The 21,207-nt window shown below is 53.4% G+C and overlaps 1 protein-coding gene across 3 annotated transcripts, besides 4 other annotated features; it reads left to right on the forward strand.

Moving 5' to 3' along the window:
- Positions 1-670: 670 nt before the first annotated feature.
- SLC22A11 (solute carrier family 22 member 11) lies at positions 671-17,605 on the forward strand. Of its 3 annotated transcripts, NM_018484.4 has the most exons (10): positions 671-1,122; positions 3,865-3,968; positions 6,734-6,888; positions 6,997-7,165; positions 9,038-9,158; positions 9,952-10,067; positions 12,329-12,543; positions 13,400-13,508; positions 14,382-14,588; positions 15,709-17,605. In NM_018484.4, exons 1-10 carry the CDS (start codon positions 730-732, stop codon positions 15,770-15,772), a joined length of 1,653 nt encoding a protein of 550 aa, NP_060954.1. In that variant the 5' UTR covers positions 671-729; the 3' UTR covers positions 15,773-17,605. The 3 variants fall into 3 exon arrangements, with proteins under 3 accessions (NP_060954.1, XP_011543469.1, NP_001294914.1); XM_011545167.2 differs by lacking the exon at positions 3,865-3,968; NM_001307985.2 differs by lacking the exons at positions 12,329-12,543; positions 13,400-13,508.
- Positions 3,125-3,638: an enhancer, noted in NCBI's record as "H3K27ac-H3K4me1 hESC enhancer chr11:64325867-64326380 (GRCh37/hg19 assembly coordinates)". NCBI's record gives its function as "activates a minimal SCP1, AML or CMV promoter by ChIP-STARR-seq in naive H9 embryonic stem cells {active_cell/tissue: H9 hESC(naive)}" and the evidence as "EXISTENCE:reporter gene assay evidence [ECO:0000049][PMID:30033119]".
- Positions 4,589-4,757: a silencer, noted in NCBI's record as "fragment chr11:64327331-64327499 (GRCh37/hg19 assembly coordinates)". NCBI's record gives its function as "represses an EF-1alpha promoter that drives an FKBP-Casp9 reporter gene in an ReSE screen in phorbol 12-myristate 13-acetate-treated (for megakaryocytic differentiation) K562 erythroleukemia cells {active_cell/tissue: K562(+PMA)}" and the evidence as "EXISTENCE:reporter gene assay evidence [ECO:0000049][PMID:32094911]".
- Positions 9,544-10,513: an enhancer, noted in NCBI's record as "H3K27ac-H3K4me1 hESC enhancer chr11:64332286-64333255 (GRCh37/hg19 assembly coordinates)". NCBI's record gives its function as "activates a minimal SCP1, AML or CMV promoter by ChIP-STARR-seq in naive H9 embryonic stem cells {active_cell/tissue: H9 hESC(naive)}" and the evidence as "EXISTENCE:reporter gene assay evidence [ECO:0000049][PMID:30033119]".
- Positions 16,034-16,638: an enhancer, noted in NCBI's record as "H3K4me1 hESC enhancer chr11:64338776-64339380 (GRCh37/hg19 assembly coordinates)". NCBI's record gives its function as "activates a minimal SCP1, AML or CMV promoter by ChIP-STARR-seq in naive H9 embryonic stem cells {active_cell/tissue: H9 hESC(naive)}" and the evidence as "EXISTENCE:reporter gene assay evidence [ECO:0000049][PMID:30033119]".
- Positions 17,606-21,207: the final 3,602 nt, after the last annotated feature.

Consider the following 21,207-nt stretch of genomic DNA (forward strand, 5'->3'; position numbering starts at 1 on the left):
CACCCCACGTCCTCTCCCACGCCCACCAGCACCATCTCCCCAGCTAGGGAAGGCCCTTCCCAGGCCCCACATCTGGCTTCAGAGCCTTGAACAGTTGTCAGGAGGGATGAAGTTTAGGCTGACCGTTTTCTGATTTAAAGGGCCTCGCGTAGAAGGTTCTAAAGATTTAAGAATGAGATCAGCTGGCCAGCAGGGAGTGGCTGAGGCCTCAGGTCCTGAGACATGAACTGCCTTCCTCACTCAGAAGCCCACGCTGAGATTAAACTTTAACCAACTCAGTGAGGCAACAGCCCAGTTGATATTTCTTCCAAACTGTAATTCAGTAACATCAAAGCACCCTGTCTTTTTAAATAGAATCTGCCTGACTTTCACTTTTGGTGCTGGAGAACTCAGAAGGTGGCTCAGCCCTCTGGTCCACACTTGGTGGGCAGCTCGGATGCCCCAGGCAGCCCGGGCACAGTGAGCTTAGTCCCCTTCACCCCCTCCGCAGAGCTCTGGGGCATCCGCACAGTCACTCCTGGACACAAGATAAGGAGGAGTTTCCCCGAGGCATCACAGGGCTTCCCGGGACTGAGGGACTGACTCAACTGGTTATTGGACAGTGCCCCACCCCCAATCCGGCTGAGGGGCAGGAAGGCAGAAGGTCTTGGTGGCCCTGGATCTTGTGGCTGCAATCGGTTCCAAACAGCAGTTAGGTCAGCAGTCCGCTCAGCCGAGGCAGCTCTGTTCATGGCGTTCTCGAAGCTCTTGGAGCAAGCCGGAGGCGTGGGCCTCTTCCAGACCCTGCAGGTGCTCACCTTCATCCTCCCCTGCCTCATGATACCTTCCCAGATGCTCCTGGAGAACTTCTCAGCCGCCATCCCAGGCCACCGATGCTGGACACACATGCTGGACAATGGCTCTGCGGTTTCCACAAACATGACCCCCAAGGCCCTTCTGACCATCTCCATCCCGCCAGGCCCCAACCAGGGGCCCCACCAGTGCCGCCGCTTCCGCCAGCCACAGTGGCAGCTCTTGGACCCCAATGCCACGGCCACCAGCTGGAGCGAAGCTGACACGGAGCCGTGTGTGGACGGCTGGGTCTATGACCGCAGCGTCTTCACCTCCACCATCGTGGCCAAGGTAGGGCCTCCCCCAGAGCCACTCGAGTCCCGTCACCTTGGAGGTCAGAGTCATGGATCAGGTTGGTTGGACTCCAAGGTCCAGTCCTGGGAGGGACCCGCCTCCTCTCGAGCCTCTCAGCCCCTCGTCAGCCACACACAGGGGAGTGGGCGGCAGGGATCAGTCTACAGATGGGGCCAGCCCAGGCTCCTGGTAGTGCGGGGGGCACCTGGGTGGGCACCTCTGAATGCTGGCATCTGGACATTCGCCAGCCTCGCCTGGTCCCGGCCCTACTGACCCATTAGCCGTGACTCCAGACAACTCAGCTGCAGGGGGAAATCAGGGGTAAGGGGGGTCTGGCTGAACTGACCCAACAGGCTTCTTGCTGAGACAGGCCAGGGTGACACACGTCACCCTAGAGATGGTGGAGGATGAGGAACCTGATCAATGTTGAGGCTGGGGGCAGAGGGGGGTTCTTGCTAAACTGATTCAGCAGGGTTCTTTGCTAAAACTGGATTTTATGAGGAAGCGCCAGATGGGCCCAGGAGAAGGCTCAGGAACCTGACTAAAGTTTGGCCAAGCAAAGCATTCTGGTCACCCCACGCCCATTTCCTGATCGGTGATGATGGCCCAGATTCGGATCGGGGCTCCGGTTCCAACATGAGCAGGGAGACTTCAAGAAGCATCCATTCCACCGGTGAATTCACTCAGTTGACATTTAAACCCCTTCTAGCAGCAAAGCCACCCCTCGCCCTGCACCGGCAAAGTGGCAGACACATTTCCAAATGTGTCCCTGCTGCCACAACCTCGCCACAATCTTGTGGGATGGGTCCTATGACAGTCCTCATTTAATAACGGAGAAAAGGAAAACACAGAGAGGTTAAGGGGCTGTCCCAGCGCACACAGCTAGAGTGTCCCAGAGCCTGATTCAATCCCGGCAGTCAGGGTCTGGAGCCTGAGTCAATCCTCGCAGTCTGCATGAGGGACAAAAGCAAGGTTGCGAGGGGTGAGGAGCGGCAGCCTCCTTCAGGCAGATGGTTGGGGATGGCCTCTCCAAAGAGGATACATTGACATCGAGGCTGGGATGGTGAAAGGAGGAATCTGTGAAGGTCAGGAGCCCCACAGAGCAAAGGTCATGCATAGAAGTATGTCTGGGATTTGAAGGAGCAGAATAAGGCCCAGTGTGTCTGCGCACAGGTGCTGAGGGGCCAGAAGCAGGTGCGGGGACATGCTCTGGAGCTGGGATTTTCTTTCTCTTTTTTTTTTTTTTTTTTTTTTGAGACAGAGTCTCACTCTGTCACCCAGGCTGGAGCACAGTGGCACAAACATGACTGCCTGCAGCCTCTAACTCCCGGCCTCCAATGATCCTCGTGGCTTGGCCTCCCCAGTAGCTAGGACTATAGGCACATACCACCATGCCCAGCTAATTTTTTTTTTTTTTTTTGAGACTGAGTCTCGCTCTGTTGCCTAGCCTGGAGTGCAATAACGCAATCTCGGCTCACTGCAACCTCCACCTTCTGGGTCCAAGCGATTCTCCAGCCTCAGCCTCCCGAGTAGCTGGAATTACAGGCATGCACAACCACTCCCGGCTAATTTTTGTATTTTTAGTAGAGAAGGGGTTTCACCACGTTGGTCAGGCTGGTCTCGAACTCCTGACCTCTGGTGATCCACCCGCCTCGGCCTCCCAAAGTGCTGGGATTACAGGCATGAACCACCACGCTTGGTCTAATTTTTTAAATTTTTAGTAGATATGAGGTCTGACTACATGGCCCAGGCTGGTCTTGAATTCCTGAGCCGAAAGGATCCTCCAGCCCCAGCATTCCAAAGTGTTGGGATTACAGGCATGAGCCACTGTGCCCGGGATTTTCTTTTAAATGCAAAAGAACCTCATCCTCGTCATCCTCATTGGAGGGTTTGGAGCATGGAAGTGATTTGGTCTGACTTGCATTTTCAAGAAGTCACTTTGCAGAGTAGAGAAGCTCTGTGGGGGGATGGGGAGCCCACTGGAGGCTACTGCAGCTGCCCGGGTGGGAAGGGGAAAGAGAGAGGTGGAGGGAGCTGCCGGGCCTCAGTGGAGGACGGACTTGGGGATGGGTGTGGGGTGTTCAGGCAATGGATGACTGGTCCTGGGCTGAAGCCACTGTAAAAATCCCAGTGAACCGTGCCAAGCTCTCTCTAGTCACCCTCACCGCTGATGACAGCACCAGATCACGACTCCGTGACTCCGTCTCTAGAGGAAAGGATAGCCCAGCCGAGGCAGTGGCTCTGCCACGTCCACCTGGCCAGCACTCAGTAGAGGTGGAAGCCAAGCCTATGGTTTCACCCCTGCCAGCCACTCCCTGCCCCTGCCTCCCACTGCCCACCTTGCCTGCCACCTCACAGCCCACCACTGCCAGGTACTGCCAGACACAGCCACACATTGCCTGCCAAAGTTCTTTTTACCAAGAAATTGTTCATTTTTCTACCACTTCTGCCCCTTCAAGGCCCTGCTGCCTGTCAGAGTCTGTCCTCTGCATGAGGGGGGCCACTGGACCCCGTGGAGTGGCCTCCACACAGCTGGCAGACGCAGAGCCAGGTCACATTCTGTCCTGCAGCTGAGCTTCCCATGGGGAGTTGCAGCCCCATGGCCAGCAGGTCCTCTCTACCTCTGTGACCTGGCACTGGGAGTCCAGGGACCCCAGTGTGGGTCAGGCGTTCCTCGGCCGTGCCCAGCCCTGTGATTTCATACCCCCCGAGCTGAGCCACTGCACCCTCCTCTTGCAGTGGGACCTGGTGTGCAGCTCCCAGGGCTTGAAGCCCCTAAGCCAGTCCATCTTCATGTCCGGGATCCTGGTGGGCTCCTTTATCTGGGGCCTCCTCTCCTACCGGTGAGTGCCTCCGCTCCTCCCAGCCCCCAGCTCCCTCAAAACATTGTTGAAGACTATGGGGCAGAAGGTTCAGAAATGTCAGGCAAACACCCCATCCCTGCTTCCGTCTCCCTCCTGCCTCCTCTGTTTCTTCCCTCCCCTGGCCATCCGAACCAACCCACAGGCTGTTCCGGGTCCCCATCTCAGCAAGGCCCCCCAGACCCTGGCCTGGTTCCCCTCACAGGGAGGCCACCCCAGGCCATCCCCCACCGCCCCCATTTCCTCTCCCATACTCCTGCCAGATGGTCATAGGCCTCCTCCATGCGGCCGTGCTTGGACCCTGTGCCTCAAAGTTGTCCTGGCTCCCCATCCTCCTCTCCTCTGTCCTTTGTCCCCCAGTCTCAAGGCCTTTCCAGAAGCCTCACGTGGGCCAAACACTAGCCAGGTGCAAGGGATGCCTCAGCAGAAATGGGGGAAGGGGCGGTGGGGAGGGTGGGAGACAAGTGTCTGCTCTTCCCCAGCTTGGAGCCAAGCAGGGCTCAGGACACAGGTAAGTAAGTCAGGCCACCTTGGAACGTGAGGCCGGTTAGGGGAACAGGGCACAGGTGATGGGCACGCCAGGGCCAGCCGGCAGGACTGGAAACGTCTCGTACCAGGTGACACTGAAGCCTAGGCCTGCTGGCGGGGAGAAGCGTTCTCTGTGACACACTTTCTTCTCTTGGCTTCCAGAACATCCTCACTCCTGGTTTTCCTTCCACCTCCCAGGAAGCTGTTCTTGCTCCCCCTCCTCCCGCTCCCCCTCCTGCCTCTCTTCCTGTTCTGGGAGCTGAGCTGCTGATTCCTTGCCACGCCCCCTCACTCCCCCAGCAGCCTCCATCGGAGGACACAGACCCCCAACCTGTGGGACCCTTCTGCGCCTGCGCTGTCCCCTGGCCTCCCTTCCTCACCCCCACACTCACCTGGCTCTTCCTCCAGGACACACTCAGCCCAAGCCCCTCTCTGCCACAGCATCCCCTTGCCTGAGCCACCATCTCCTCTCACCAGGCAGGCTGCAACCCCTCGCAGGTGTCCTCTGCAGTGGCCGTCCACGCTGCCACAGCACTGAGTGACTTTGCAAAATCTCGGAGGTTGATCTGGTCAATAAAAGCTGGCCCAAAGTCCTCCGAGGGCCCCACTGCACTGAGGACAGTCCCTTCCTGCCTACCCCCTGCCCTGCGCTGGGCTTCCATCCACCCCCAGCTCCACCAGCCTCCTCCTGGGGCCCCCTGCACGCCTGCAGAGCGCCTCAGTGACTGTGCTTCACCCAGAAGCTCTTGCCTATGCTGCTTTGTGCCCACACGCAGGCCGCAACTCAATGCTCTTCCTTGAGGAGGCCCTCCGAGGCCACGGAGCCAGAGACTCCTGCCCGGCCCCAGGCATGACTGTCCCAGCCCCTCCTTGCTTCCCTCATCACAGTGCCTGGCTCTGACGATGCCTGGCTGGCTCAAGGCTTGTTTGTTGTCCACGTCCCCACAAGCACACAGGGACCCAGGGACTGTGCTCCAGAGCCCAGCTCAGCACGGTGGCAGACACGCAGTCATTATTTCATGAATGGAGGACTGCCTTCCCACTCCCTCCTGCCACCACCCTACTGGCTCTGGGGTCTGACTACCTGGGTCTGAATCCCAGCCTTATCCCACCCAGCCTTGTCCTACAAGGTAGATCTCTTCCCTTCTCTGGAGATCTCTTCCCTTCTCTGGGCCTCAGTTTCCCCCCAGCAGTGGGGTCTCGCACCTGCCCACGCAGTTGTCGTGAGGATGAAGCGAGTGTCCTTGCTCCTGGGTGCTGCTCAGACAGGTGCGGCCAAGGTCTGCCTCGCATCTCCGTTCTGAGCAGAACGGGCTTGAGTGGCACTAAATGCAATCTCCGGTTCAGACTCAGCCGGCCTGGAGGCCACCGCAGCCCAGGGCACTCGGGCAGGGGCCGAGGGCTCTGCATCCGCCCCATGAGCACCCCCTTCACAGCGCACAGGTGAGAGCAGTGGATTGCAAAGTCTCGGCCTCCTTACTCCCTGGCCCCTTGCCCAGTGTCTTGATTCTCATAGCAGCCCTGTGAGGCATGTCCTTATGGATGCCCTTGTGTTACAGATGGGGAAACTGAGGCTCAGAGATGTCGAATCACATGCCCAGGGTCACCCAGGAAGGACAGAGCTGGGGCTCAAACCCAGGCATCTGATGCCCAAACCTGTGTTCTTTTTTATTTATTTATTAGAGACAGAGGCTCATTCTGTTGAACAGCCTGCAGTGCAGAGGCGTGATCATACCTCACTGCAGCCTTGAACTCCTGGGCTCAAGCCATCCTCCCACCTCAGCCTCCCAAGTAGCTGGGACCGCAGACACCTGGCTAATTTATTTATTTATTTATTTATTTATTTATTTATTTATTTATTTATTTAGTAGAGACTGAGGTCTCACTATGTTGCCCAGGCTGGTCTTGAACTCCTGGCCTAAAGTGATCCTCCAGCCTCAGTCTCCCAAAGTGCTGGGATTACAGGCATGAACCACCGTGCCTGGCCCCAAACCCCATGTTCTTAAACACTGAAACTGAACTGCACCCTCCCATGGCAAGGTACCTGCCACTTTTATAACAGAAGCACTCTGAGTGTACCCCTAAAAGTTCCAAGAAGGAGGAGCTGGCTGCAAGAGATCCCCTGGCGTTGTTGAACTCCCAGAAGGCAAGTACCTGCCCACATATCCACGTCCTCAGGGGCCCCTCTCCAGGCCCCGTGTGCTTCTCTCCTGTGACAGGTTTGGGAGGAAGCCGATGCTGAGCTGGTGCTGCCTGCAGTTGGCCGTGGCGGGCACCAGCACCATCTTCGCCCCAACATTCGTCATCTACTGCGGCCTGCGGTTCGTGGCCGCTTTTGGGATGGCCGGCATCTTTCTGAGTTCACTGACACTGAGTGAGTCCCCGGCTCAGCGCGCTCCTGCCATGGGGGCGGGGGTGGCAGGAGAGAATGGGGCTCAGGCCGCCGCATGAGGCCTCACCTGCACGTGTCTGCATCCTTCAGTGGTGGAGTGGACCACGACCAGCAGGAGGGCGGTCACCATGACGGTGGTGGGATGTGCCTTCAGCGCAGGCCAGGCGGCGCTGGGCGGCCTGGCCTTTGCCCTGCGGGACTGGAGGACTCTCCAGCTGGCAGCATCAGTGCCCTTCTTTGCCATCTCCCTGATATCCTGGTCAGTATGATGTGGGACCTTTTCCTTAGGAGACCCAGGGTGGGAGGGGGACTCTTCACTTTCACCTCTCTGGCTGGCAGTAGGTCCAGAGACCTGGAGTGCCACAGAAGGGCCATGGCATGAGCGGCACCCTCGCTAGGGAGGGACATTGGTGATTGGCAGTCCTGGGCTAAGTGTTGCAGCCCGAGGTCCGTGGCTCCCATCCAGCCCAGACAGGCCAAGATGGGCTGGCACAGCATTGGCTCAAATGGTGATTTAAAAAATACATTTGTAACTAGTTGCTAACATTTAAAAATCAGAAGATTTTCAAAAACAAACAAAAACAGTATTTTTTACCTTCTTTGGAAAAACTGGAAGATCCAGGGGCACTGGGCTGAACTTCGGCCACAGTGGAAGCGGCCGCTCTCCCGGTCCCCAAGGCCCCACTGCCGCTGTCCCCTGGGCTGAGGCTGTGAGCATCGTCCTTCCTCAATACTTGCACCAGCCCCCACCCACCAGCTTCACTCCTTCACATACAGTGCGGACCAACATTGGATATGAAAATAGATTGTTGTCACTACAATTTTAGGGGCCGCAAAAATCCCTAAGGTCTGGAAATCCCTCCTTGGGTTGGCACTGAGGAAGGAGACACAGACAGGTGCAGAGGGTCTTAGGTGCTGGGGACACACAAGTGAACAAAACAGGCAAAAACCAGTGGCCCCGTGGAGCTTACGTTTCATACACAGATCAATAAGTGAAGAGGAAGGCCATCCCATAATTACAATAATTAGGCCATCCCCGCCACGCTGATCAGGTGTGTACCAGGTGCAGTTTATAACACTAGGTGCGTATTAACACACCTTCTAATAAGTAAGATGATGCGATTACCACCATTTTCAAATGAAGGACCGAGACCTAGAAAGGTTAGGTCACTCACCCAAGGTCACACACAGCCGGTGAATGCCAGAGGCAGGATTTGAACCTAGGCAGGCTAACTCTTCACCACTACGTCAGACTGCCTCCAGAAGTCCTTCTTAGCTTCCCTGCAAACAGGGCTGAGAGCCGGTGGGTTGGGCAGATCCTGTGCCTTCCACCAGGAAAGTGTTTCTCCTGGCCCACCTGCCCCTGAGGTTGGGGAGAAATAGACTGGTTTTATAAAATCACCTGGTTCTGCCTGGGGATATTTTAAATGTGCTAAAAAAAAAAAAAAAAAAAAAAAAAAAAGGCCGGGCACAGTGGCTCAAGCCTGTAATCCCAGCACTTTGGAGGCTGAGGCAGGTGGATCACAAGGTCAGAAGATCAAGACCATCCTGGCTAACATGGTGAAACCCCATCTCTACTAAAAATACAAAAAAATTAGCCATGGTGGTGCACACCTGTAGACCCTGCTACTCAGGAGGCTGAGGCAGGAGAATCACTTGAACCTGGGAGGTGGAGGTTGCAGTGAGCCAAGATCGCACCACTACACTCCAGCCTGGGTGACAGAGTGAGACTCCATCTCAAAAAAAAAACAAAAAAACCCAGCACCAAGTGACCTTTCTATCCTAGAAATAGCCCCAGAATCACTGGTGAAGCAGCCAACTCTAGGGACACCCATGCCCAGGCCACCTGTGCCCTGGCTGTGTGCAGGGCTCAGGTGGGCAGGCCCCGGGCAGCCAGGCGAGCCAGATGGAGGTGGCTCGCTTGGGAAGGTGGGCGGCCAGGCATTGGGACTCAGCTTTATTCTGAAACCGCTGGGGACTGCCAGGCTCCTGGCTGGGCAGCAGCGGCACAGAAGCATGTGCTTCCTCATCACTCATCTCAGCTGGAGGGTCCGTGCCCACTGCCCCTTTCCACCCCGCCCCGGGGGAGAGCCCAGCGTGCACTCCCAGCTACACACCTGCCTCCTTACAGGTGGCTGCCAGAATCCGCCCGGTGGCTGATTATTAAGGGCAAACCAGACCAAGCACTTCAGGAGCTCAGAAAGGTGGCCAGGATAAATGGCCACAAGGAGGCCAAGAACCTGACCATAGAGGTGAGATGCTGCTGTCTGCGAGACTTGACCTGGGACAGGACGTGCACTGAGGGATCATCCGTGTGGCCTCCAACAGCACCACCCACTCCAGCACCACCTCCACCAGCACCACCACCAGCATCTCCACAGACACCACCAACACCTCCATCACCACCTCCACACAGACACCACCACCACCACCACCAATCCCGATACCATCACCAACAGCACCACCACTGTCCACACCCACCATCACCTTCACTGCCATCACTCCATCACCACCAGCACCACCAATACCATCACTAACCCCACAGCCACCATCTCTGCAAAACATCTCCACCACCTTCACCACCATCGTCACCATCGGTAACAGCACCATCATTATCAACAGCACCCACACCGTCACCTCCATCACCCACCACCTCCACCTGCATGTAGCACGCACCCACCTCATGGGGGTTCTCGATGTGTCTGGGGAAACAGAATGTGTTTATTTGAAGGTAGCTGCTTTCAGGAAACAGGCGCTGCCAGAGATTAGAGTGAAGATGGGGTCGGAGGATAAGGGAAGGCTTCCAGAAGGAGGCAAGCTAGAGCTGAGAGGACCAGGGCTGAGTCAAACCTGCAGAAGAGCCAGGGCCTGGAGAGAACCTTTTCTGCCCCATCCCCTCCCCTTCCCCTAGGGATCCAGCTTCCAGAGGCCGAGGCCCAGGACAGGCTCCCCGTCACTCTGGCCACTTGGACACTGTTCTCTGGCACAGGGGGTGGGGCAGGGCCATTGCCCTACCATTCACGGTGCCCCCATTCTCCCCGGAAGGTGCTGATGTCCAGCGTGAAGGAGGAGGTGGCCTCTGCAAAGGAGCCGCGGTCGGTGCTGGACCTGTTCTGCGTGCCCGTGCTCCGCTGGAGGAGCTGCGCCATGCTGGTGGTGAAGTACGCCGTCCTGGTGTCCCTCCCCAAGGCAGGGCTGGGACAGGCAGGAGGCAGAGCTGGGACAGGCAGGAGGCAGAGCGTCCAGGGGAAACAGCACCCGCAGGCCTCAAGGGGGTGCATTTCTGTCTGGGACAGGACGCAGACAGCCCCAGCAGGCAGGAGTCCTGGCAGGCAGCAGAGAGGGACTATGCACAGGTGGGATCTGGAGGCTGCCATCTGCAGGAAGCCAGAGGAAAAGGCAGCTCTAGGCTGGGGGTCCCAGGGTCCCAGGGAGGTCCCAAGACAGAGGCAGAGCCAGGGTCCCTAGAGCCAGGGGACCAGCCACGGCCGAGGAGTACCACTGTGTGTCATCGTTAGAGACTTACCACTTTCCTAGAGACCATGGCCATGCTCCTAGAGGGTGAACCTGCATTCGCTGACCCCTCCATGCAACCCCACTTCACTGATGGGGAAAGAGGATCCCAGAGGGGTAAGGAACAAGCCCAAAATAATAGAGCCTGCATTGGAACCGGGCTGAGCTAACACTTGGCTTACCGGCACTGTCACTGCCAGGGCCCGCGCGACCAGACCCTGGCCCTCCCCGGGACCCAAGGTCATCTGGGCCCAGGAAAAGGCCCTTAAAACAAATTCAGTTCCGGTGACATCCAAAAGAGCATATTAAAAAGCAAGGACCAGTCAGGCGCGGTGGCTCAAGCCTGTAATCCCTCACTTTGGGAGGCTGAGGCAGGAGGATCGCTTGAGCCCAGGAGTTCAAGACCAGCCTGGGTAACATAGTAAGACCCTCTCATCGCTACTAAAAATCAAAAAATGAGGCAGGAGGATCACTGGAGCCCAGGAGATAGAGGCTGCACTGAGCTGAGATTGTGCTACTGCACTCCAGCCTGGGCGACAGGGCAAGATTCCGTCAAAGGAAAAAAAAAAAAACCTAAGGACCTGGTTTGATTGGGACTTTTATCTTGAAATAAAACTGAAGTTTAGGAAAACGTTTCTTTTATGCTATATTTAACCACATATGGGTTATGATGGCAAATACTTGCTACATCTTAGAACAAAGATAGATCAAATGCCTTTTTTAAAAAACTTCAATTTTTTTCTGATAAATCAGAAGGAGTGCTCTCACTGCAAACACCCGGGACCAGTTTTTTTTTTTAAAAAAAAAAAAAACCTTCCAGGATTCCTCAGTTCTCCCAGGGGCCGGCTCTGCAACCTTTGTTATTCAAATCAGAGGCTTTGAAGCTGGTGACCTTGTGGGTTTTCCTGTCTTGTTAACCCAGTTGTTATCTGTCCAAGGCTCCAGTGTCGGCCGCTTTGAGCACCAGCCCAGTGACTCTCACGTCACTCACATAAACTTCATGAAACACCGCGGCTTGTGCGATTTTACTCTGATGTTGTTGGGCTGGTGTTGTCCGATGTTTATTGGGTGATGCAATCAGGTGACGCCTAAGGGGAGGGCTGGGAGGAGCATCTGGGTTAAGCAGGGAGAGCACAGATTTTAAACGTGGCCGAGAAGAATTTTACCTTGCAGCCAGTTGTGGATCCAAATCCCATCTCCAAACCATGAGAATTTAAATACCGTAAATTCAGCTACTCGTGAGCCAGTGGGGTGGGGGAGTGGGCAGAAAGCAGACCCTGAGATGGAGAAGGGAAGGCAAGGGGAGATGCAGCCACAGCCTGGGCCCAGCCCAGCCCCTGGGAGCGTGGGAGCTGGGGCCTTTCTGGGTGGTCCCTCTGCCCCATGAACCAGTCACAGGCTGCTCTCCCCAGAGAAGGGGCAGCACTCCCAGGGGCTGGGGGACAGGCTCTCCATCCTGAATGTGGTCTGGGCAATGCAGCCCAGGGTCTCCCGAGAGGCCCTGTCCTGCCATGATTCCCATCTTCCAAGAGAAAGGCACAGTGTGACTGGTTATCAGAATCAAAGCCAGAGAGGGCTAGTCCGGAAGTGAGGGGCAGCTCAGAGGCCCCCGAGGGCAGACTTGGTCCCAGCCAGAGAGGCAACGCCCCAGCGCATCGCTGCCCCTGACACAAAGCCTGTGTGTGAAGGGATGGTGGAGCCACCCTGCCTGCCCTTTCCTGGAAGAGCCTGACGCTGGGGTTGTGTCCTGAGTTTGGCAGGCTTCTGGGATCGCTGGCCGAGACAAGCCCAGGATTGTCCTCCGGGGTTGGCCATGTCCTCCCAGGCAGCTCCTGGTGGGAGGTGCTGTTGCTGTTGGGGTGCCCTCTCCCCGGCAGGGCAGGGACCTGACTTCCAGCCTTGCCCGCAGTTTCTCTCTATTGATCTCCTACTATGGGCTGGTCTTCGACCTGCAGAGCCTGGGCCGTGACATCTTCCTCCTCCAGGCCCTCTTCGGGGCCGTGGACTTCCTGGGCCGGGCCACCACTGCCCTCTTGCTCAGTTTCCTTGGCCGCCGCACCATCCAGGCGGGTTCCCAGGCCATGGCCGGCCTCGCCATTCTAGCCAACATGCTGGTGCCGCAAGGTGAGGCAGGCGGACTGGGCGGTGGGACCGGGCCCTGCTTCCCCGCCCACCCCACTGCTCTGAGCGTGGGGCCACATCCCCTCCCTGGCCCCAGGAGCTGCCTCCCTGTTTTCTTTCTGAATGAGGGAGGCTATGAGGACCTGGAATCCCTCTCTGTGTCTCCTTTTATTGCTGAGGGTGGGAGACTGGGGGAAAGGGACAGGGCGGCACGTCGTGCGGTGGCGGCAGAGCCGGGAGGAAGGCAGGAGGCTGCCTTGCGGCTGGCAGAAGGCCTGAGCGGGGACGGAGGCGGCCGGGGCCCTGCAGGCTGCAGCGAGAGCCCAAGCTCTGAGCGCGAGCAGCTGCGAGGAAACTGACAACGGCGAGCACCTCCCAGCAGTTCAGGCACCTCCACGGAGCAACGCGTTGGGGAGGCCAGGCCTGCGGCCAAAAGGGGGCCCGGACCTCCGCCTCCAGGCCAGGGCTTCTGCCATCCCCACACAGGCAGGCTGGCGGGCAGCAGGAAGGCTGCTGTGGACCGGGCCCGGCGCTCTCTCCGTCATAGCAAGAGGCATCTCGGGACCCTAGGAGCCGCGGTGGGGGGCATTCTTTCAGTGCAGCCTCCACGGCCGGCCAGGCTCAGCTACCCTAGACCTGGCTGGGTTTCTGCCTGTGCCCCTCGGGCCCCTGCCGCGATATCGCATCCTATGCTCTGTCCCCCAACCCCAGCCCTGGGCAGCCCCGCACCAAGCCAGCAGGGCCGGGGACTTGTAGGGAGCCCAGGGTCCCCTCTGCTCCAGGCTGGCTGGCCGCACACTGACTAGCCCCTGGGTACCCTCCAGGGCAAACCCCACTCTCACCCCCTTCCTGTACCCAGATTTGCAGACCCTGCGTGTGGTCTTTGCTGTGCTGGGAAAGGGATGTTTTGGGATAAGCCTAACCTGCCTCACCATCTACAAGGCTGAACTCTTTCCAACGCCAGTGCGGTAAGCTGGGCTGCAGGCCATGCCCCAGGGCCAGCAGGGCCGTCCTGAGAGGGCGGTGGGAAGGGAAAGAAGGGTCTGGCAGCCAGGGAAATGCAGCCAGGGCCGCTCAGGGTCCCCCCCAGGACAGCTCTTCCCCTTGAGAGTCTCGACCCAGACAGAAGCAGTACAGTAGAGCCCTGGGGACATCTGGGCCTGTGTTTTCACACCATTTTGAGCCACAGAGTCATCTGTCCAGATGGAATCTTATAAGAATCCTGATTAGGAGACCAAGAGCTGCCCTGGTAGCAGTGGGGACCCTCAACTCACTTCCCACCACTCCTTCCCTGCCCCAAGAGAGCCCCAAGTCACCTCCTTGGAGCCCAAGGGCATCATAAAACACAAATGGAAAACCAGTGGTCTAGAGTCTAGGCCACCCCCACATTTGATATTTGGGTAAACTGAGGCTCGGGGTGAAGGACTGGCTCAGCAGAAGGGTAGGACTGGACTCCAGCTCTCCAGACTTTTAGCCCAATGTTCTTTCCACCACTCACTCATTTCTCCATATTTTAATTTGTTGTTTGGACAAGCATTTATTGATTTTGTTGATATCGTATGGAAAGCCTGAGTTGGGAGCTCAGTGGCCTAGCAGGAGTATGGAGAAGCCCTTAAGTTGCCCAAGAGTGGGGAAAATGAGGTGGGCCCTAGAGATTTCCCCTGAAACACTAGATGCAAAAATCTGGGTGGGCTCCGTGGAGGAGGTGGCATTAGAGGAGGCCTTGAGGAGGGCAATTCCCTCAGCCCAGCTTTCCTTCCCCTGGCATCTGTGAGCCCAGGATGTCTTCCTGCCACAGGGCCAGCTGTTACAGGGATCTGGGCCCTCCCCTTCACCCACAGGATGACAGCAGATGGCATTCTGCATACAGTGGGCCGGCTGGGGGCTATGATGGGTCCCCTGATCCTGATGAGCCGCCAAGCCCTGCCCCTGCTGCCTCCTCTCCTCTATGGCGTTATCTCCATTGCTTCCAGCCTGGTTGTGCTGTTCTTCCTCCCGGAGACCCAGGGACTTCCGCTCCCTGACACTATCCAGGACCTGGAGAGCCAGTGAGTGACCTGTGATCCCTGGGCATCGGGCTGGGCTTCCTCCTGGGCCAAGATGGAGACAGGCCTGGGCTGCCCAGGGCAAAGGCTCAAGAGTACCAAGGCCTGTGTTTCTGAAACCATTTAATCTTTCCAACAATCCTGCCAGAAATGTATTATTACTATCCCCATACTATTACTAGGGTCAGAGAAAGAAAGTGACTTATCCAAAGTCTCATGGGTAGAAAGTGATCATACCTCATGCAGGAAAATGTAATGGTTGAAAGCCCAGGCTTGGCAGCCAGGTTGCCTGGGCCCACGTTCCCCACCTGCCTGGGCAAGTGACTTAACCTCTCTCACCAAAACTGACAAAGGGAGATACAGATAGTCTCAACTGTCCTAGTGCAATTTTCCCACAAAGAATTTCAGGCCCAGACAGATCAACAGGTGAGTTCTTTCAAACCCTCAGAGAACAGATGGTGCCATCTCACACCCATTCTTTGACAGGGAGAAATGAGGGAGCACTCCCTGGCTGCATTTTATAGCCAGAACCACTTCTGTGGGCTTTAGCCTCCTCCTTTGTAAGATGGTGTTTAGAAAAAACAAACAAAACCCAGCCTGGCTCACAGAGTTGTTTTCAAGTTTAAGGGAAGTATTATTTTAAAGCACCTGGGAAAATGCCAGGCCTGCAGCAAGCACTCTGGACATGTGGTTATTGTGTCCTGGGTGACTGTTCACAGGGCCGCCTCAATTCTGATGGTGACCGAGGTCACAATGATAGTAATAATACTGAGTTCTTATTGTTTTATGTCACCTTATTTAATCGATACAACAACCACATGAGGTGCTATTACAGTCCAATTCCTTTGCCAAGGAAACTGAGATGCAGCAGGGTTATATAACTTGCCTAAGGACACCTGCAGAGACCCGGAGAAGCTGGGACTTCATTTTTTCTTTAATTTAATTGATTTTTGTTGTGTACCTACTATGTTTCAGGCACTGTCCCGCTTGGGTACACAGAAGGGAGTAAAAGCCTAATGCCATAGAGTTTACCCCCCAATAAGACTTGACCGCCATTTTGCCCCAAGCTCCGAGTACATACCCACTTCACCACATGGCACTGCTTTTCTTTGGATTATTCTAGGAAATCAACAGCAGCCCAGGGCAACCGGCAAGAGGCCGTCACTGTGGAAAGTACCTCGCTCTAGAAATTGTGCCTGCATGGAGCCCCTTTAGTCAAAGACTCCTGGAAAGGAGTTGCCTCTTCTCCAATCAGAGCGTGGAGGCGAGTTGGGCGACTTCAAGGGCCTGGCATGGCAGAGGCCAGGCAGCCGTGGCCGAGTGGACAGCGTGGCCGTCTGCTGTGGCTGAAGGCAGCTTCCACAGCTCACTCCTCTTCTCCCTGCCCTGATCAGATTCCCCACCTTACCCGGGCCCTACAGGAGCCTGTGCAGATGGCCATGCCCAACCAATAACGAGACGGTTCCCCTCCCTTTCCCTGCCAGGCTCATGTCTTTACACCTTCACTCAGCCACGCCAACCAGAGACTGGGTTCCAATCTCACCCCACCACATACAGAGCCCTCATCTGTGAAATGAGAATGATCACGTGACCCACCCCCCAGGGCAGGTATCAGGGTGAACTGATCTTAGCACCGGCCAAATAAATGGAACCTGCTGAGAGAGCTGCCAGATACAGGTGTCCAGGTTGTGCACTGGCCCGAGGCACGCAGCCAAGGAGGCGTGTGGGGTCTGAAACTCAGCCCCGGCTACACTGGCCCCACCACCCACCCTAGCAAAGGCTGTGTCCTCTCCAAAAAAAGGAGCTGTTTTAATCACTTTTCATTTACTCATCAGTGAGGGAGGGCTTCCAGCCCTATGGTTACGAAGACGGCCAAACACACCACCAAACACCAGACAGAGGAGGCTGGCAGCAGGTTACCACACACGTGCGCAGAGCCCACGAAGATGACGCTGCACTGAGGCATGGGGCGGGGTGCACTGAGGATCCGAGCGAGCAGCCAGGGCTGCAGGAAGGCAGCTTTGGAGCACAAAGGGGGTGGGGCAACTCCTGGCTTCTGCGGGAAGGTGTAATCAGCTTGTTTCATCATGCTGCAGGCTGGCGAGAAACGGAGCCTTACAAGCGTAGGGATAAGAGGAACCCCTCTTGGTCCCCTCGATGAGGGTTGTTGGGCCGGGGAGCCTCATCCACAGGGCGGAGTGAAAGGGGAGAAGGGGAGCTCACAGGCAGGCCTGCCAAGGCCTTCTGGCTTTGCCAGATGTCAAGGGCAGCACCTAATACTGAACCTTAACTTTCGGCTTTCAACCAAACGGCACCCTTTTGCTGTTTGTTTTCTGGAGGGGACACCTTTTCTTGATTCATGCCCAGACCTCCCTTGTCCAGGCCATGAAAACTCTGGGATGGTCGAGGCCGGCTGCCCATCTCAGATGGGCAAGGAAGCAAAAGTGCAGAGTGGTGGAGGGGCCAGCTTGCAGAAACACGGCCGAACCCGGCCCTGATCCTAGCCCAGGGCTCTTTCCAGCACAGGAGGCTCCTAGCCCTCGTCTCCAACCCTCCATGCCACTGATATCTGTGGCCCTGCCACAAAGTTACCCTCATGCCCTTCCCTGGAGACCCCACTCTGGGCCACCTCAATCTCAGGCCCCTCAACTCACCTCTTTCACCCTGTGTACACTGGGTCAATCACTCCTGCCTCCTCACAGCTCCCAAATCCACCTACTTCCCTTCACTCTGGCTACACCCTGGTTCACACCACGGTTGTAGCTCCAAACTGGTCCCTGATGTCTACATTGCACTCTGCACAACAGCCACCATGCTTATTAAGAAACGCAATCCAAACCAAATCCCTCCCTGCTGAAAGCCCTCCAGTGGCTCACAATAAGGATCACACTTCTCCCCCTGCCTGGTCAGGCAGCCATGGGACCCCAGCCTTTCCTCCCACTTCGGTAAATTTTAAAGGATTCGGATCATACAAAGAATGTTCTTGAACCAGCATGGAATTAAATTAGAAATCAATTATGGAAAGAGATATAGAAAACCTCTTCAAACTATACAACACACTTCTAAGTAACCCACGGGTCAAAGAGGGAATCTCAAAGGAAATGAGAAAAGATTTTGAACTGAGTGAAAATGAAAAAATGGCATATCAAAATTTGTGAGATGAAGCTAAAGTAATGATTATGGGGAAATTGATATCATTAAACACTAACATTAGAAGAGAAGAACGTTCCAAATCAAATACCTCAGCTTTCACCTGGAAAGTAGCAAAAGAAGAGTTTATTAAACTTATAGTAAGCAGAAGAAATAATACACAAGAGAAATCAGAGAATTGAAAAAACAATAAAGAAAATTAGCGAAACCTACAGGTGGTTCTTTAAGATCAATACAATTTACAAACCTCTAGACTTACTGATCAAGAAAAAAAGAGGCCGGGTGCGGTGGCTCACGCCTATAATCCCAACACTGTGGGAGGCTGAGGTGGGCGGGTCACTTGAGGTCAGAAGTTCAAGACCAGTCTGGCCAACGTGGTGAAGCCCCATCTCCACTAAAAATACAAAAATTAGCCCGGTGTGGTGGTGCGTGCCTGTAATTCCAACTACTCAGGAGGCTGAGGCAGGAGAATCACTGGAACCTAGGAGGCGGAGGTTGCAATGAGCCGAGATCACACCACTGCACTCTAGCCTGGGTGACAGAACAAGACTCCGAATCAAAAAAAAAAAAAAAAAAAAAAGGAAAAAAGAAAAAAAGAGAAAAGACACCCACTACAAATCTAGGACTACGAATCCGAACATTAAAACGATAATAAGGGAATATTCTGAGCAATATTTTACCAAAAACTTTGAACACTTTAACAATTTTTTTGAGGAACACAAACTACCAAAGCTCACTCAAGAAGATGTAGGTAACTTTATTAGCCCTAAATCTATTTTAAAATTGAACTTATGTTTTAAAACTTTCCCACAGAGAAAATTCCAGGCCCAAATGGCTTCACTGGTGAATTCTGACAAATATTTAAGCAGGAAATAATAGCAATTCTATGCAAAACCTTCCAGAAAATTGAAAATGAGGTAACACTTCCCAATTCGTTCTGTTTCCCTGAAACCAGAAAAAGACATTACAAGAAAATAAAGCTATAAACAAATATCCCTTATGGATATAAACATAAAAATTCTTAAGGAACATTTAGCAAGTTGAATCCAACTATGCATGTATATATATTTACATATGTGTGTGTAGTTTTATATTTTATATATAGGTGTGTGTGTGCATATATATATATATATATAGAGAGAGAGAGAGAGAGAGAGTGCAATACATCATGACCAAGTGGACTTTATCCCATGAATACAAAGTTAGTTTTACATTTAAAATCAAGGTTAACAAACCAAATTATGAACAAGCCAAAACAGAAAAGCCATATGTCATCCAAATAAACAAAGAAAGATCGTTTGACAAAATTCAACAGCCATTCCTGATCATTAATATTCAGCAAACCAAGAATTCAAGGCACCTTTTCCAGCCCGATCAAGGCCATCCATGCCCTAGATGGGCACCCTGTTATCCCAGAGGTGCCATCATGCTTATGGTAAAGGCTGCTTTCCCCTTCCGATCAGGAATGAGGCTAGGACATCCACTCTCACAGTTTGTATTCAACATTGCTCCTAGTCAGTGAGATAAGGTGAGCAAAATAAGTAAAAGGCATACACATTGGAAAGGAAGACACGAAACTCTCTTTATTTGCAGATGACATAATTGTCTATGTAGAAAATCCTAAGGAATCAACAAAAATACTACTGGAACTAATAAATGAGTTTAGTAAGGTCAATATACAAACACCTATTGTATTTCTGTATACAAGTGACTACCAGAAATTGAACATTTTAACACGATACCGTTTAATAACAGCATGGAAAAAATGTGACACCCAGGGAAAAATTCAATAAAAGAAAGACAAGACCCATGAACTGGAAATTACAGAACTGAGAGGAATTAAAGGGCTAAATACATAGACACATCTTGTTCATGGATTGAAAGACTGGATATTATCAAGATGTCAATTCTCCACAACGTAGTGTTTAGATTCAATGCAATCCCAGTCAAAATGCCAGCAGATTTGCTTTAGATAAATTGACAAGCTCACCCTAACATTTATATGAAAATGCAAAGGGCCTAAATTATCCAACACAATTTTGGAAAAGGACTAAGTTGGAGAACTTTTTTTTAATATAATACAATCAAAAGTTCAGAATAGAGCCATGCATTTATGGTTTAAATTTAATAGATTTTCAATCAAGGTGCCAAATCAATTAAAATGAGGAAAGGATAATCTTTTCTGCAGATGATTCTGGAACAATTGGATAACCATATATAAACAAAGAAAGAAAGAGGGAAAATGAGGCAAGGAGGGAGGGAAAGAAGAAAGGAAGAAAGGAAAGACGGCAGCGGGGAAGGGAGAAACTCAACCCTAACTCACACCATTTCCAAAAATTAACTTTAACTGGATCATAGACCTAAATATAAGAGCTAAAATTATAAAATTTTTTGAAGAAAACAGGAGAAAATCTTGGCAACTTTGGGTTTGGCAAAGATTTCTTAACTAGTACTCAAAAATATGAACTATAAAAAAACATATTGGACTTCATAAACACTAAAAACTTTTGCTTTCCAAAAGACACTGTTACAAAATGAAAAGGCAAGCCACGAACTTGGAGAAAATATTGGAAAAATCTGTATCTAACAAAGGACTTCTACCTAGAAAATGTAAAGAACATTTACAACGCACAAATCAAATGACAGTCCAATTGTAAAAGGCAAAAGGTTTGAACAGATGCATCGCCAGAGAGGATACATAGGTAGCCAATAAGCCCAAGAAAAGATGATCGACATCACTAGGAAAATGCAAATTAAAACCACAACAAGGCCGGGTGCGCTGGCTCACGCCTGTAAGTAATCCCAGCACTTTGGGAGGCCCAGGATGGTGGATCACCTGAGGTCAGGAGTTCGAGACCAGCCTGGCCAACATGGTGAAACCCTGTCTCTACTAAAACTACAAAAAATTAGCTGGGTGTGGTGGTGGATGCCTGTAATCCCAACCACTCCGAGTTGGGAGGCCAAGGCAGGAGAATTGCTTGAACATGGAAGAAGGAGATTGCGGTGAGCTGAGATCATGCCAAGCAGTCCAACCTGGGAGACAGAGCGAGACTCTGCCAAAAAAACAAAAAAAAAAAAAAAAAAACTTATACATTCAAATGTATAATCAAATTTACAAATTATCATCAAACAAATCCCAAGTTCCCATGACCTAGCTGGAGAAGCACAGCCTCACGGGTGCTTGATGGCCCCTGAGTGGCCCTCCCCAGTCAAATCCTCCCACCCGAGGTAACTGCTATCCCGAATTATCTTGTTTTCCTCATAAGCGTGCCACCTACTTATATATCCTCCAGCAACATTCTGTTTGGTGACACCAGCGTGGGATTCCGTGGTCTTCTGTGACTTGCTTCTTCCAAACCAATATTATGTGTTTGAGACACATCCCCATTAGTGGTTGAGCTGTGCAGGACATGGAACAGGCCATGCAGTGGAGCAGATGGGGAAACAGAGTCAGGCTGCCAGGCACACGGAG

The sequence above is a fragment of the Homo sapiens genome, chromosome 11, assembly GCF_000001405.40.
Source record: "Homo sapiens chromosome 11, GRCh38.p14 Primary Assembly".
NCBI classification, from domain to species: Eukaryota; Metazoa; Chordata; class Mammalia; order Primates; family Hominidae; genus Homo; species Homo sapiens.

Bases quoted from the DNA above. Each gene is read 5' to 3' on its own strand.
- SLC22A11 (NM_018484.4), top strand. From the start codon at position 730: ATGGCGTTCTCGAAGCTCTTGGAGCAAGCCGGAGGCGTGGGCCTCTTC. The intron at 10,068-12,328 runs GTACGCCGTCCT...CCTTGCCCGCAG, and splicing joins TGCGCCATGCTGGTGGTGAA to TTTCTCTCTATTGATCTCCT. The intron at 13,509-14,381 runs GTAAGCTGGGCT...CTTCACCCACAG, and splicing joins CTCTTTCCAACGCCAGTGCG to GATGACAGCAGATGGCATTC.